General features: G+C 41.0%; 1 protein-coding gene across 21 annotated transcripts in view; it reads right to left on the minus strand.

Moving 5' to 3' along the window:
- The window catches only part of DNAAF11 (dynein axonemal assembly factor 11), a 132498-nt gene continuing 116777 nt past the window's right edge, over window positions 302–16022 (minus strand). For 20 of the 21 annotated variants that reach the window (NR_135908.2, NR_135906.2, NR_135907.2 and 17 more), the window contains 2 exons: window positions 13580–13665; window positions 302–2366 (listed from right to left, as the gene is read on the minus strand). Coding sequence is in view for 11 of the 21 variants with exons in the window: in XM_011516950.3 (XP_011515252.1) it covers window positions 2192–2366; window positions 13580–13665 (261 nt within the window). In the remaining 10 variants the exon portion in view is untranslated. Of the gene's footprint in view, window positions 2367–8293; window positions 8403–13579; window positions 13666–16022 lie in introns of all 21 variants that reach the window. The other variant, NR_073525.3, reaches the window with a different exon arrangement.

The following is a 16022-nucleotide window of genomic DNA, read 5'->3' on the forward strand; positions in this document are numbered from 1 at the left end:
AAGTACCACAGACTGGGTGCGTAAAACAACAGAAATGTATTTCTCCCAGTTCTGGAGGCCAAAGTCCAAGATCTCCTCCTGACTTAGTGCTATGTCCTCAGATGGCCAGATGGCTGAGAGAGAGTGGTCTCCAGTGTCTCTTCCTCTTAAAAACACAAATACCATCATGAGGAACCAACCCTCATGATATTATTTAATCCTAATTATCTCCCAAAGGCCCACCTCCAAATACCATCACACTGGGGGTTAGGGCTTCCACATATGGATTTTGTGAGTACACAATTATTCAGTCCATAACAGATGGCACAGTTTTGTTTGTTTAATGGATAATTCTATTAGTTTGGTCAAAAGTATAATTTTGCTTTCTCTCTATGTGGAAATTAAATACAGTCCTGACAAATGTACATGATTTCCAAGTTGGTAGAGGTTGAGTTCTGTTGGATTATGATATGTCAAGTTGGCTAAGGCTGGGAGCTGTTTTCCAGAATTTCCTTCCCTACGTGGTTCCTGGGTAGAGTTGACCATGAAGAAAGGTGTTATACTCAGTCATTGCCATCAGTCGCAGTGATGGACAGATGCAGAGGGACCCAGCCTGCTGCAGCTGATCCTTGATCTCCACCACTGTGTGTCCATCCCATCTTTCTTACCGCAGGCCTGCTGACGAAGGCTGGCTCCAAGCCCACCCACCAGGATCTTGGCCACGGACCAGAAGGGTAGCAGATAAATAGAGGCAACAATTTCAGCAGCATGATAATTTCCATAGACCTCTCCACAAGCTCCCAATCACAGTCCTACTTCAGCTTCTCAGATTCTGTGCAAGTTCTGAATTGTCTACCTGTACCAGTGCTTCTTCTTCCAATTCTCTACCTCTCCCTTCTAGAGCTTCACTACCCAGCTCTTCCCACATTTGTGCCCAATTGCATTCCTATAACCAGTCCCTCATTCTCATCATATTTTTTTCTAACTGATGCATTTTGGTTATCTGCTAAACATTAGCAGAGTCTTCCACTGGAAGCCTGTTTAATAGAGAAAGGCCCTGTCTGAAAAAGCACCCATCACCCTTGATTCCCTCACTCTGACTCTCCTTCACAGCTCTGAACACCACCTGACATAGTCTGTGTGTATGTATTTGTCTGCTTTGTTACTACTAAATCCCTGATGAACAGAGAGGGGGCTAGCACTCAATAGTTGCTCAATAAGTATTTGTTGAATGAATATTTGGGGAAACTGACTTAAATGTTGCTATATCATGATCAGAGTAACAGTAATTTGTCCTACAATGTATGTGAAATATTGAATTCATAATGTTCTAGATAAAGAAGAGGTAGGATATTAAAAAAGTAAAGAAGGAAATAGAGGAGAAGGAGTGGGATGGGGAGTAAAAAGGTGAAGAAAAAGAATAAGGGGAGAAAAGTAATTGGGGAGGGAGGGGAAGAAGGAGCAGGGAGGAGGAGAGACAGGAGAAAGGGAGGAGAAGAGAGAGGAGAAAGGGAAGAAGGAGAGAGAGAAGAGGCTCTAAATGTATGGCTGACACTGTACTAAGTGCTTTCTGCAGTTTATCTTGAGACAAACCTGTGAGGCAAGTGTTATTATTCCCAGATTATACATGAAGCCACTAAGGCTCAGAGAATTAAAGGACTTGCTGAAGGTCTTTACAAAGTGATTGAGCTGGAATCCAAATATAGAGTGTCTGGTTTCAAAACTCATATTCTTGCCATTATACCATGCCACCAGAGAAAGCAGACACATCATGGGAAGGAAAATGGAAATGCTGTTTAAAATCATATTAAAGTATTCCAATTGGGTCTGAAATTACAGTTTTAACTTCTAAGCTTGACCACTTTGCTGAAGTACCAATTTAATACTCAGTCCTTTTATCTATGAATTAATACTTTGCATAAGTAGACAGTATTTATAATCAGTGTTTTATGCAATAGTTCTATGATCTTACTAAACATTTTCAATACCAACCCTTTATTATAGGTAAATGATGAGTTATAGCATTTAAGACATACATTTTAATTTTAAGCTATCTTAAGGATATTACTATGCAAAGTAAGAGTTAAAACACTGGAGCAGCGATATTGACAAATAACTCTGTGTTTATCCCAGGAATAATATGCATATGGTCTCTACACCAACCAAAACTGGACCTGGTGGGTCTCAGCCAATGGCAACGCAGCCAGATGTTTCAAATCAGCGGAGGCACTTCAGGGTTGTCTTCAAAGGTTGGGTCTTCCTCACTTGGTATAATTTTGGGTTCAGGTCGTCTTCTGGGTGTGTGTTTTTTCTCTTGAACTATGTTAGTCACATCAGGGAATGAGTGCTTGCTAGGGTCTACTTCTAGTTTCTCCATGTGCTTGCTTCTATAACAACAAAAAAAGACAAACAGAAACTGATACTACATCATTTAAAATTTCAAACAGATTCAACTCACCCATCCATTTATTCAGCAAACGTTGGCAAGTAATATGCCTGGAGCACAGAAATAAAAGGAGAGAATGTCCCTAGCATCAAGAAGCTTAGAGCCTTGTAGAATCAAGACTCTGACCTGTGGAGAAGAAAAGTTCTAAAAAAAAAAAAAAAAGTCACTGGGTTTCTACTAATGCACAGGCAGTTGGAGGAGACGTCACCTGTGAAACTCTACCTCGTTAAGAATTTGTATTTGATAACTGAAATGATACAGCAGGCAACGCCCTACAGCCAAGATCAATAACTGAATCCTTCCAGGCAGCTCTTATTCCTGAATGCAGCTCATCAGGCTTCTGGACCCTCCTGCTTCAGACAATCTAACTTGCAGGGGTTTGGCAGGGGCATCTACACGGCAAGTTCAGGTGCATAGTAAAGTGTAGCCCCACCAACCTCTCCTCCCACAAGAACCTGAGCCTTCTGCACTCACTCAGTTTTCTCAGCAATAGCAAGCATGAAACAGAAGAAGGGGGCACCTCGGTTGGCCAATGTTCCCAATATCATGGTCAGATATAGATATAGATATAGATACAGATATAGATATAGATATAGATATAGATGTAGATAATCAGGTCTCTGGGCTGCGTTCCCCGCAATTTTGATTCAATAAGTCTGGTGTTGGGGCCAGTAACCTGTATTTTTATAACGTTCCCTCAAATGATATTGATAATCAGTCAAATTGTTTTGGAATCACTGCACCGTTCATTCAAATGTTCATTGAACAGATACGTGTTAAATATCTATGATATTCCAGGTGTTGTATAGGCACCAGGGAAACCACGGTCTGTGCAAATAGACAATGTTCCTGGTAATATCTAATAGCACAGTGTAGTGCTTGAACACAGAATTAATGACACTCTCATACACCTGTTTCATTCTTTGTCTGTTTTCATACAATACTGGTATCTTTGAAGCAAAGGTTTTGTCTTTTTCATCTTTTATCCTAGGCATATGGCTGTATTGAATAAATATTGTTGAATAGATGAAAAATATTATTTTTCTATTGGGGAAATAATGAAATTATATAAGAAATTATCTCTGACCTAAAGAAAATCACAGTCAATCAAATTCAGGAGCTCTAAACTGATGTCCTCAGACTAAGCTCATTCCATGAACACCCTTTGTCAGGGTGTTCTTCTGAAAGTGTCAACTCTCTATTTTCCTTGCAACCATCTCCCTTCATTTCTGTAATCTGCCTAGTCCTTGAAGTCATTTTAGTTTTTGATCCTTCACACTATTTTGACTAATACACAAGGACCTGCTGAATAAAAAATACAAAATATACAAAGAATATAAAATAGTATATTCAGAAGCCCAAACAGCATACCATAAACTCCGTATGCCACAGGAAGGAGAAGAAATGGAAAAGGGGCTTGTGTAGCCTCTGAAGGGGTGAAAGAGGTGGGAATCCGAAGATGCCCTGAAAGATGTGAAGGAATGTGGGTGAGCAATAAAGGGAGAATTAATGCTCCAGAGAAATGAATGGTCATATCCTGAGCACACCTTCCTCTCAGATGCCTCGGTGCCACAATATTCACTGAACCACCTGCCTTTAAAAGAATAGAGTTTTGTGGCATCAGCTATGATGCTGCTTATTCTTTTCTGCATAGTCAGTCATCATAAGGTTGGTGGCTGACTGTGCAGAAAACAGTAAACATGGCAGGCCAGAGATGACTATCTTTAGAAGGTAGGCCTGCAAGGTTGGGCATTGACTGGTAAGCTGTTCCCTACAGCCACATGAAACTTTCCCTAAACAATCAGGGTAGCTCACTGTGCCTTGCAATGTGTGCAGTCAATTTGGTTTATGCTTTCCTTCTGGGACTGCATAGCATTGGCACCCACTAGGCAGAGGGTGCCTACCAGCACCCAACAAAACCCTGAGCATTGAATCTCTAATGAGCTTCCCTGATGGACATTTCATATGTGTTGTTGCAACCCATTGCAGGAGGAATTAAGCATGTCTTGTGTGACTCCACAGGGAAAGGACTCTTAGAAACTTGCACCTGGCTTTTTCTGGACTTAGCCTTTTGCTGATTTTGCCTCCTATTCTTTTGCTGCAATAAATCTTAGCCATGAGTGTGATTATATGCTGAGTCCTGTGAGTTCCTCTAATTAATCTCTGAACCTGGGGTCATCTTGGGGACCCTCGACACACTGCCTTTTGTTGAGCCCCATGCTAAGGCCTTTACTTGTGTCATCAAATCCTCAGACCCAGTGGGAGGACAAGAGGAATAGTCAGCCAAGTTCCCACAGATAAACATAGGCAGAACTAGCTGGGAACTGAATCCAAATCTCTGGTATTAACATCACCCATACTGTTCCTCATAGAAAATTAGGTACCAAACACACAGCATAAAGAGGGGTTTTCTATTCTTGACATGTGGCACATAAGCTTATATCCATCAAAACAAACAGTTCTCTAGGTCAGCATGAATATTGAAACCAATTGTGTTATGACACAGTAAACCCACAACCTGCTAGGCCCTCTTTCATCTCATTTATTTCCTGGTAATCAAGAAACAAAGTTCATTACTGCAAGTCAAGAGGCAGTAGAGTGTCTAGGGTAGCTTGCAAGATCCTGGCTCCTACCTGCTAAGCTGTTGGCCCTTGTGAATTACTCAGCCACTTTGTGCCTCAAAGACCTCATCTTTAAAATAGGGATGACAATGAACATAAGGCTGTTGTCAAGATCAAATGAGTTCATCCATGTAAAGGACGTAGAGAAGTGCCAGAAACACAGCAGGCATTCCGTAAGTGTCAGTGCCATGTAGGAAAAGGGTGGCATCAGTCAATATGTACTAGGATATGGATAAGAGTTCGTTATGAAATTCAGTATGCTTTTCAGCACACATCTTTTAGGTGCCCAGTGCTGTAATCAGTGCTAGGAATTTAAAGATGAGTAAGACATGGTGTATGCCCACAATCAAATGAGGAGGACACACGTATACTGGGCTACTTTGCACCAGCGTGGCAAGGGCTCTGCAAGTAGGATAAACAAGCCAGGTTGAAGCACAAGGAGACAACCATCACCAAGGCCCGGAAAGAATTACGGTAGGAATCATAGAGTAAGGGAACTTGGCATCTGGCACTGGGCGCGGGGTGGGGCTGGTATTTTCCAAGATTTTGAGGAGGAAGAACATTCCAGAGAGGTAACACTGACAAAAGGTAAGAAAACATTTGTTCTGCTTACTCTTAACCTGTTACCTTCAGAGAGTGAGGTACCCAAGGTGGGGATGGGGGAAGGAGCGGGAGTGTCTGGCCCAGTCCAGTGAGGGTAGGGCTGGGTAAGTGAGGGAAGCTTGGATGGCTGGGTAAGGTAATCTGTTGGGGAGGCCGCCTGGAGAACTGTTTAAGGTAAGATGCTGAAAGTCTTTGGCTTTGTGGCAAGTGCCGGTGCCACGACTCTTGGGAACTGGGGTACCTCGCCCACTACATTTTTCTTTTCGCTTTGAGATACTCAAGCAGTAGGGAGTGTGTTTATTTTTAGGAAAGTTAGAGACTGATTTCTTTTTTAAGGAAGGGAATGATGTTTAACAACCTATTTACTATATTTAGTGTCATGTAAATGTAGTTAGAAAACAGAACACTGACACTACTCCTTGTTACTGCCCTGTTGTCTAAATTTCCAATTTTTCTTTAATTGCTATTTGTCACAAACAAGATAATTTACCTTCTCTTTCATTGGCTGCTCACAATTCATGTATCTGTTCATTCAATAAGTGTTTACTGAGTACCTACTATGCACCCAGGTTTGTGTGTGTCCTGGAGACTGAAAATGAAAAGCTGTCTTCCTATCCTCAATAACCTTACTAAGTAGATAAAATAATATTATTGTTATTAGCAAAAAGAGATGTTATATAATCATTATTGTACTTAAAGAAGCTATATGATATGTGCCCAAGTGAGACGATTTGACTGACCAAATTGACCCAGTTGTTTTGGTGAACTGAAAGGGATGTGTTGTTGTTTTTAATCATCTCTCAACATAAGTTGGGTATCCCTAATCTGAAGTTCCAAAATCCAAAATGCCCCCAAATCTAAACCTTTTTGAGCACTGACATAATGCTCAAAGGAAATGCTCATTGGAGCACTTCAGATTTTCCAGTTAGGAATGTTGAACTGGTATCATGCAAATATTCCACAATCTGAAAAAAAATCCAAAATAAAAAACAAGTCTGGTCCTAAGCATTTTGGATAAGGGATACTCAACCTGTATGTTCACAGTCTTATCTGGTGCTCACACCCATCACTGAGCCCCCGCATCCCTTCCCCACCTCACTGATGCAGAAGTGGAAGAAGGGAGAGGGGCAGGGGTCCATCAGAGGCTGAAGCTGAGGGTCAGGCTCAGTATTGGGGCAAGCACTGATATTTCGTTTATTATGTGGTGATTTTAATAACTTTTTAAGCCTTTTTATTGAGTGCAATACATGTATAGCAAAATGCCCAAATCATAAGAGTGAAACTTTCATTAACTGAATGCACCGTGGATTAAGAAGCAGAACATTATCAGCATTCTAGGAGCTCCTACTGTGCCCTTCCAGCCATGATGCCCCACTGAAACCACCATCCTGGAGGCTACCACTTTGCCTACCAAGTCTTCCTTCTTATGGGGGGTGCCAGTATAAGGATTTGCTATTTGAAACTCTAGAGTTCATCTGTGACACTCAAGGAAAGGCCAACAGAATACAAAGATGCTAACCTGGGGTCTTAACTGCTAAGCTGCCGAACCACCTACAAAAACACCTTCTTCCAGAATAATTGTTATTTGAGGTAATAAAACATCCTACATTTTTAAGTCTATCTTAGGTATTCTATTACTCGTAGCCAAATATATCCTTATACAAGTCAGGTCCAAATGTCATCTATCAGTACATACAGAAATATAGGGAAAAGAATGCCAACATCTCCCTGGGAACCAGGAATCCCATAACCTAACGTAAATTTTTACATAGGTAAATTAGACCAGTTATGACTAAGTTTTTATAATTATAGTTATCATTTAGTATAGTTACTCAGTTGTACAAATAATTAATAATGATGTTAATAACAATAGCCACTGACATTGACATGGCACTTTTTTATTTTTATTTTTTCAGATGGAGCCTTGCTCCGTTGCCCAGGCTGGAGTGCGGTGGTGCAATTTTGGCTCACTGCAACCTCCACTTCCTGTGTTCAAGTGATCTTCCCACCTCAGACTCCCAAGTAGCTGGGGCTACAGGTGCTGCATGCCACCATGCCTGGCTAATTTTTGTATTTTTTTTTTAGTAGAAATGGGGTTTTGCCAAAAGATGGCCAGGCTGCTTGAACTTCCGACCTCAGGTGATCCACCTGCCTCAGCCTCCCAAAGTGCTGGAATTAAGGATGTGAGCCACCATGCCTGGCCAGGCACTTTCTAGTTTGGAAAATTTATTCCAAAACAAATGTAGGAAGTTCAAACACCTTCATTATAGTCATTATAAATAAAGCCCTACTTTTTAATTATTATGTTCTTACTTAAAAGGCTATGATATTTGTGTTTTAAGTATATATCTAAGTTCATCTAGTATAATTATTTTGTCCTTGACTTTGAGGAAGAATGGCCTACCTCATTTCCCAGTATATATCCTGGGCCATAATTTCTGGTCTCAGTAATAAGCCATGAACTTAGCTAGTACATTGTTATCTGTGGCACAACTAATTCAGATGTTGTGAGGAATGAACTAAATCATAATAGAGGATTTTAATTACTCATGGATCTCTGGAGTCAAAAACAGTAAGCAGCTAAGCCTGGGGCACTTGAAGATCACAATAATCTCCAAAACAAAGTGGGGAGGGGCCTTTTCACCTTTGCTTTCCCCGCCTTAATGTCAGAGGCCTCTAGGACGGACGCCCATCACTGGTCTTACCCACGACCTGACTGTCAGAAACATCACCTCTAGAATCCAGTAGAATAGCTGGAAGACAAAATCAACAGATTTAACATCATGGAAGTAAGCAAGAAAAAAGAAAATGCCTAAAATTAATCACTAAGTGCAAAACACATCAGAGATTCATTCCTTTTATCAAAAAACATAAAGAAAGAACTTTTTTCTGGTTTCCTAGTAAGCTAGCATATTTGGACCAAAGACTCCCACCTCCCACTGAAAACTTTCTTGAGATCATGAAAGACTTGATAAAATCACAAGGAACTGCAAGGTCACAAATCAAGGAAAGTGGGAACTCAGAAGGAGGAGCAGAGGCCTGAAGTCACCTTTGCCCTGAGAGCACTTGGGGAGCCCTTGAAGTTGTGCTTTGGTCAATCTGACCTTACAGAGTCTGAAGACAGAGGCCAAGGCCCTGAGCATGCCAGGTGGGCAGTCTAACGGGACACCCTCTCCATAATAAGGGTGCAGTGCCAAAGAGCTTCTCTGAGAAGTAAATGCCCACTGCTCACCTCCACAAGGCACTTCGAGGAAAGCTGCTTCAGTGGGGCAGAGGAAAACTGAGTTGTCACCACAAGCTAGAAAGTTTACAGCAGCTGTTGGTTAAAAATCCTCAATCTTGAATTTAGATGAAAGTGGTTCCAAATTGGCAGTGTTTTTCTCTGCAGCACATGCCAATGTTCCCTGGCCAAGTACCTCCCAGGCCTCTAAGGAACCACCAGAATATTTTCCTAGGCAGTGGAGTGTGAAGCAAGTTCCCTGTGCACTGGTTACCAACTTGCCAGGGTCCAGTAAAACAGAACACCCCCATACACAACAGGCTACATGAAGCAGATTTATTACTTATAGACAGGCAGCAGAGGACAACAGAAACCGCAGGGGGCTCAGGGAAGCTGCCTGGGAAGGAGATGGCATCTCTTTTGCACATGCCCCACTTGTACCACAGCACAAGGACCCCAGGAAGCAGCCCATCCTAGATTGTATACCCCTGGACCACGTGATCAGTGGGTTAAAGCGTTGAAGGATGTATGTTTCCGGAGTGGGGAAGGCAACTGAAACAGAACTGAGGCTATTTTAGCCAGCTCCCTCTTATCTCAAGATGTTGTATTCCCAGCACATTCCACAGTTATTCTTGTCAACTACAACTAAGAAAGTGGGGGGAAAGGGTTGGTCCAAGGTCACTCAGATGGTTCTATATGCAGTAGCTCACAGTAAAAAATAGACAACTAGGCCAGGCGTAGTGTCTCGTGCCTGTAATCCCAACAATTTGGGAGGCTGCAGCGGGCGGATCACTTGAGGCCAGGAGTTTGAGACCAGCCTGGCCGACATGGCAAAAACCTGTCTCTACTAAAAATACCAAAAAATTAGCTGGGCGTGGTGGCAGGTGCCTGTAGTCCCAGCTACTCAGGGGGCTGAGGCACAAGAATCGCTTGAACTGGGAGGCGGAAGTTGCAGTGAGCCAAGATCATGCCATCACATTCCAGCCTGGGCAACAAAGGCAAAACTCTGTCTTAAAAAAACAAATAAATGAACAAAAAAGACGACTACTCAAGGAAAAAAAAAAAAGCACGAGAACCAATAGAACAAGAACAGAAATAGAAATATAAAAACTTCAGATATTGGAATATGAAAACATGAACTATAAAACCACTACAATTACTATGTTTAAATAACATGTCTCAGACTTCCTAGTAAAAGATGGAAAACTGGAACGCTTCCCTCTGGACTTAGCAGAACAACAAAGATGCTGCCCTCACTCCACTACTCAACACTGTCCTGGAGCCTTTCCCTGTGCAGTGAGGCATGAAGAGGAAATACAAGAGATAAGGATCAATCGGAAAGCAAGCAAGCAAGCTGTGGTTCTTTGCAGGCATACAGAAAATCTAAAAGAACCCACAGATACATTAATAAAATAATAAGAGAGATTAGTAAAGTTGCTGGCTACAAAATCAAACACAAAAGTAGACTACTTAGTGGTGATGGTCGTACAACATTGTGAATATACTAACTGCCACCGAATTGTACACTTTTAAATGATTACAATGGTCAATTTGAGGTAATGTGTACTTTACCACAATGAAAAAGTAAATTGCAATCTATATACCAGCAACAGAGAAAAAAATAAAATAATACATTTGTGATAGCATCAAAATATCATACACCTAAAAATTAATAAAACATTGGTATGCTTATGGAAAAGTTACAAACAGATACCAAATAAGATCAAAAAAAGGACAGAGAGATACTAATACTATTAAGAACTGTTCTCTCTAAATTGATCTATATGGCCAATACAATTCCAAAGAAAATCCCAATACATACCTGTGTGTGTGTTTGTATGTGAGTAAAAATTGCTTGGTTGATTCTGAAATATATGTGTAAGTGCAAAGGGATAAAATTAGCCAACTCACTCTTCAAGAATAAGGTGAGAAGACATTTCCTACCAGTTATAAAACTCATAAGACTATGGAAATTAAGGAAGTAGAGCAGAATAGAGACCAGAGGCAAACCCATACAGATGTGGACTCCTGGTCTACGACAGAGGTGGCCTTCGTAACAAATGTAGAAAGAATAACCATCTTAATAAGAAACACAGGGACAGTAGGGTGCCCACAATGGGACAAATTAAATTGTCATACTTTAAACAAACTTAATTCCTGATGGATTAGACGTTTCCTCAAATTATACCTAAATGTGAAAAGCAAAAGTATAAAGCCTTACAACATAAAGGACTACTTTTATGACCTCAGGGCAGGATGGAATTTCTAGAACAGAACAAACATAAAATAATTAACCATAAAAAAGTTTAATAATTTTGATTGTTTTAAAATCAAAATCTTCTGTTCATCAAATGACACCAGGAAGAGATTAAGAAGGCAAGTCTGGCTGGGTGCGGTGGCTCACACCTGTAATCCCAGCACTTTGGGAGGCCAAGGCAGGCGGATCACAGGAGGTCAGGAATTTGAGACCAGCCTGGCCAACATTGTGAAACCCTGTCTCTACTAAAAATACAAAAATTAACCAGGCATGGTGGCAGGCACCAGTAGTCCCAGCTACTCGGGAGGCTGAGGCTGGAGAATCGCTTGAATCCAGGAGGCAGAGGTTGCAGTGACCCGAGATCCTGCCACTGCACTCCAGCCTCTTGCCACTGCACTTGACAAGAGCGAGACTCTGCCTCAAAAAAAAAAAAAAAAAAAAAAGAAGAAGAAGAAGAAGAACAAGCCTGAGGTTTCATAATCCTGGTTCTACCACTTATCAACTTTGACATCTTGGGAAATGCCATCTCTCAATCTCAGTAAATTAGAAATAATAGCACTTATCTGCAGTGTTATTCTTGAAGATGAAAGACAGACAACACATAGCATCATGTAGCAGAGTCAGCACTCAATAAATCCCTTCGTTTGGAGGAATTTGTGCTTCTTCCTTCATTTTACAGTGTTATGGGACCACAAGAGGTCACTGATGACCTGATGAATAAAACCCTACTCCAGTTGCTCCTCCCCCTCCATTCACTTTCTCCTCAGCATGAGAAACAAACCACTCTGCCAAGAGATGGGCAAGGGGCCTCTTGTGGCCCTCCCGGTGGACGGCTGCATCTACAGTCCTTTGCCTAAAACCAACAATCCTGCCTGACCCCAGTCCCTGTGAGCAGCTTTAATGGGCAGCTGCTTGGTTAATGGGGTTGCCCAGCCTGAAGCTGGGATAACGTGCACAATAGAGTTTGCCAATGATTAAGGAGCACCATAAACTACCTTCACACAGGCATTTTACATGTGATTGTGGTGTGATCCTTTCTCAGTAATCAAAATGAAAAAGAAAGGCTTTGCAAAAATACCACAGGAGGGACTGCTATGAAGAATCGTGCTAAGACATCTTGAATCCTCAAGTGTAATCACAGTAATGATAGTTTTCCTGGGGTCTGAAAACCAGCTCCGAACTGTTTGCAATGATTTGGCTTTCCATTGCTGATTCCTCACAAATTAGATTCAGACTCTTTCCATGTGTTGATGCTGCTGGGGGTTAATTATGACTGTGAATATTCATAATAGACATAATACCCATGAATCTTGTATGTGCAATGGAAATCACTAAGCTGGGAAATAGAGTGGATTTCCAAGGTTAAAAACAGCAACCCATTTTTCGGTAGGAATTCAATTACATACCTGTTGTTCAAACAAACCCCATGTTTAAAAATCTCTACAAAACTTCAGCAGTTGTCTTTGAATATACCAATGCCTGACTGCTTTATTATGCAACACATATATATAGCTCTTGTTCAGGTATTTTTATGATGGTAATTCTAGCATATACATTTGTATCACAAAGATAGTTTGCCTTACTTCAAAATAGATTTTACCATCTGGATGATAAGAGTCTGAAAATCATAAGAAGCAGAAGGACAGTTGGAAGAACTGGGATCTCATTCTAGAGAAGAACTGAGAAAGGGGAGAGCTTTGTGCAAATTACTTTAAGGGATGTCATTGCTTAAGGGAGATTGGCTTGGTTCTGACGGTCTCCAGGAAGCAGAGCCTGGACCTTCATTTAGGAATCAAAGAGAGACAGAGAGAGGCTGTCTAACAGTAGAGGATACCAAGAAGGGAATGACTACTCTCTTGAGAGGGTGAGGGTCCTGTTGGGAAAGGAATTTAAGCAAAAGCCAGAAAATGACCAACAGTCAGGAGATTGACAGGAGGGGCCCTAGTACCCCTGAGAGTTGAGGCATCTGTGGAGTGACACACGGATCATAAAAGGGAGGCAGTGACAGCAACGGTACCAGCAAGGTTGTCCCAGCATGTCATAGCTACATGACCTTCAGTACACTCTAAGTTTCCCCCTCCCTCAGCTCCCCTAACTGGAAACTGAGCATAAAAATTATGAGGATTGAATGTATTTAATATGGGTAAAGCACACAGAATAGCACCTGACACGAAGCAAGCACTTGGTAAATGTTAGCTGTCATTGGTGTTGACATTACCAGTCGTTATATTATGACGAGACATTGGGACCTGTATATACACAGATTTGATTTTAGGGATGAGGAGCCCTACAAAGCAAGAGTCTACGGTTTGGGAAATAAACATTAACATTCATGGTATGAATCATCTCAGAACTTTAAATAATTGTACAATTTTGGAAGCTGCATTCCAACCAACAAATGACAATGAAGAGAACAATATAATACAGCTAAGGACAGTCTGGGAGGGTGGTACCTTGTATTTGTTTGTTCTCTGCTCCTGTCCGAGGTAGTTTTCATAGATTTGAATGCTCGCTGACCACCTGTGATTACTTCTCCTACCTAAAATAAAAATGAAACACACACCAAGTGGTGCATTACTCCTTGATGTACCTTAAAAAATATACATATATGTATTTTAAAAGATACTAAAACATTTTAATTTTTTCTCTACATATTCCATGAAAGACTCAAACTTGAAGCCCCTATATGCAGTGTAGAGAAGGTTATATCACGAATTGTATCTGTTGCAAGAGTCTCGCGAAGCCACAAGCTATCTACAACTGCCAAAGGCCAAGCAGGAGATATGGTGAATTAATGTATTTAACAAATATTATCGACAAGACAACAACATGCCAGATACTTTTGTGGGGTGTTGGGGATACAGATGTGATGGAAACACTGCCTTTGGGGTGCTCCTAGTGGAAAGTGGAAAGCACTCTGAGATGGGAGCTTGAATCCTCATTCTCCCGGCTCACTGCGCCCTGGTTTCTTCCTCTGCAAAATGAAGGAATCGGTTTATGATCTGAAAGGCCCCTTTTTGGTCTAAAAAGTCCTATAATTCTAATACTTTTAAAACTAAGTAAGCTCAGTGCTAAGCATGTTGAAGTCTCAATAAATAAAATGATTCCATTCAACAAACATACTGCAAAAATTATTGAGACCCAGTACCTCCTCTCAAGGAACTCCTAAGACATCAGAGAGGGGAAGGAAAAGAGAACCTGCTGCTACTTGTCAGACTCCACTACGTGCTAGGCACACACCTACCAATATCAACACTGTATTTCACTTAATTTCTCCACCCCTCAACATTCCTATGAGACAGGGATTGCTAGCAGGAGAAGTTTAAAAACTCTCTTCTCATGTTGCCTGGGTCTGCCCAATATGGGGTCTGCCTTTTGTTTTCAAGGAGTGACCTGGAGTGAGTGTCCATTCCCCTCTCTACCCTCACCAGGTCCTTCTCTATGGCAGGGGAATGACTCATTCACCTGCCACATCTCTCTTATGGGCAGGGTCATTATCTCAAGGGTGAAGGCTATCTGCCTTTCTCTGTTCTGCCTGACTTGGTGTGGTGCACAGCTGTGATCCAGGTTCATGCAACTGATTAAGGAAAAGACTAGGCCTGGACTTCAAGGGTCTATCATCATCTGCCTCCCATCTACTGGCTCAGGCATGTGTCTCGACTTACAGTATATATTTGGGAAGGGCATTGGGAGTCCCAATTTAGCCTTAACACTAAGCCACATTCTCCTATCTAAGCTTTACTAGACAGAAGTGTTGGGCACTTAATCATATTAATACATGGGGTAATTTGTTTCTTATTTAATTAGAGATTCTTGGTTATAGGCTCCAATAAATCCCCAAAGCCTAGCCCATTGTTTATCATGTGTATACTTCAATAAATAAATGATGAATGAACCAATGAAGAAATGATTCCCCATCTGAGACCCCAGCATCAAGCTCGGGGAGGTTTGGGCTCTGATGGATGCCCACTCCTAGATGGCAGTCCTTTTCCTGTGTCAACATCATACAGTGGTGCAAGACTAGTCTTTTACATGGTGCAGTTGTATAATTTTCAATTATATTTTGTAAAAATGCAACACGTGTATGGATGTGTGATGCCATGCAGCTCCCTTTCACTGGAGACCATGAACATAAGAAGTACATCTTCCTCTTTCCATGGGTCTCATGGGAGGGTGTATGTGCGTTGTGGGAAGATCTTCAGCTCCACCCTTTCAATATAAGCTTTGAACACTAGACTGGGGGAAAATAATACCCTTAATGTCACAAGTGGACGGCAAGACTTTTGCTGAAGCTCCAGAAGAAAAAAATAATGAATGCTACTAAAGACATTAAATACCAAGGCTAGAAGGGTTTGTTCAGAAATGTTTCAAAAGCGATGCAGTCTGCACTACAAAACTCATAGAAGTATGCTATGGAAGAATTGGCAACTAAAGCTACCAAAACAATGTTTACTTCTTCAATAGAAGGTGACTCATGGAAAGGTTTGTATTATCAAACATGGTTTATTTTGGAGTAGGCTAAGTCTAAAATGTTGTATTTTCTAGGTTTTAAAATAGACAATGTAATTTTATTGCTTTCCATTAATTTTTTGCTGACCAATGTTATATTTGTGGATGTTACTTTGGCAGGGTATGAATGTCTATATGGTTTAAATATGAAAACAACTTGTTTTCTTCTTTTTCTTTAACTGAATGAGTGGGATGAATCTAAATATTTCCTGATATCCTGGCCTTCCCTTAAGGGAATGAAAACACTTTTCAGTTGCTATTGATTCCAGTTATAGTTAACCAAATCAGATTCATGTCAATTATAAATTTAAAAAATAGAATTAAGAAGATATTTTTTAATGTTTTATGGAGACTAAAAAGAGACTCTCCCTAGATTTAGAGAAGGAG

The sequence above is a fragment of the Homo sapiens genome, chromosome 8, assembly GCF_000001405.40.
Source record: "Homo sapiens chromosome 8, GRCh38.p14 Primary Assembly".
NCBI lineage: Eukaryota > Metazoa > Chordata > Mammalia > Primates > Hominidae > Homo > Homo sapiens.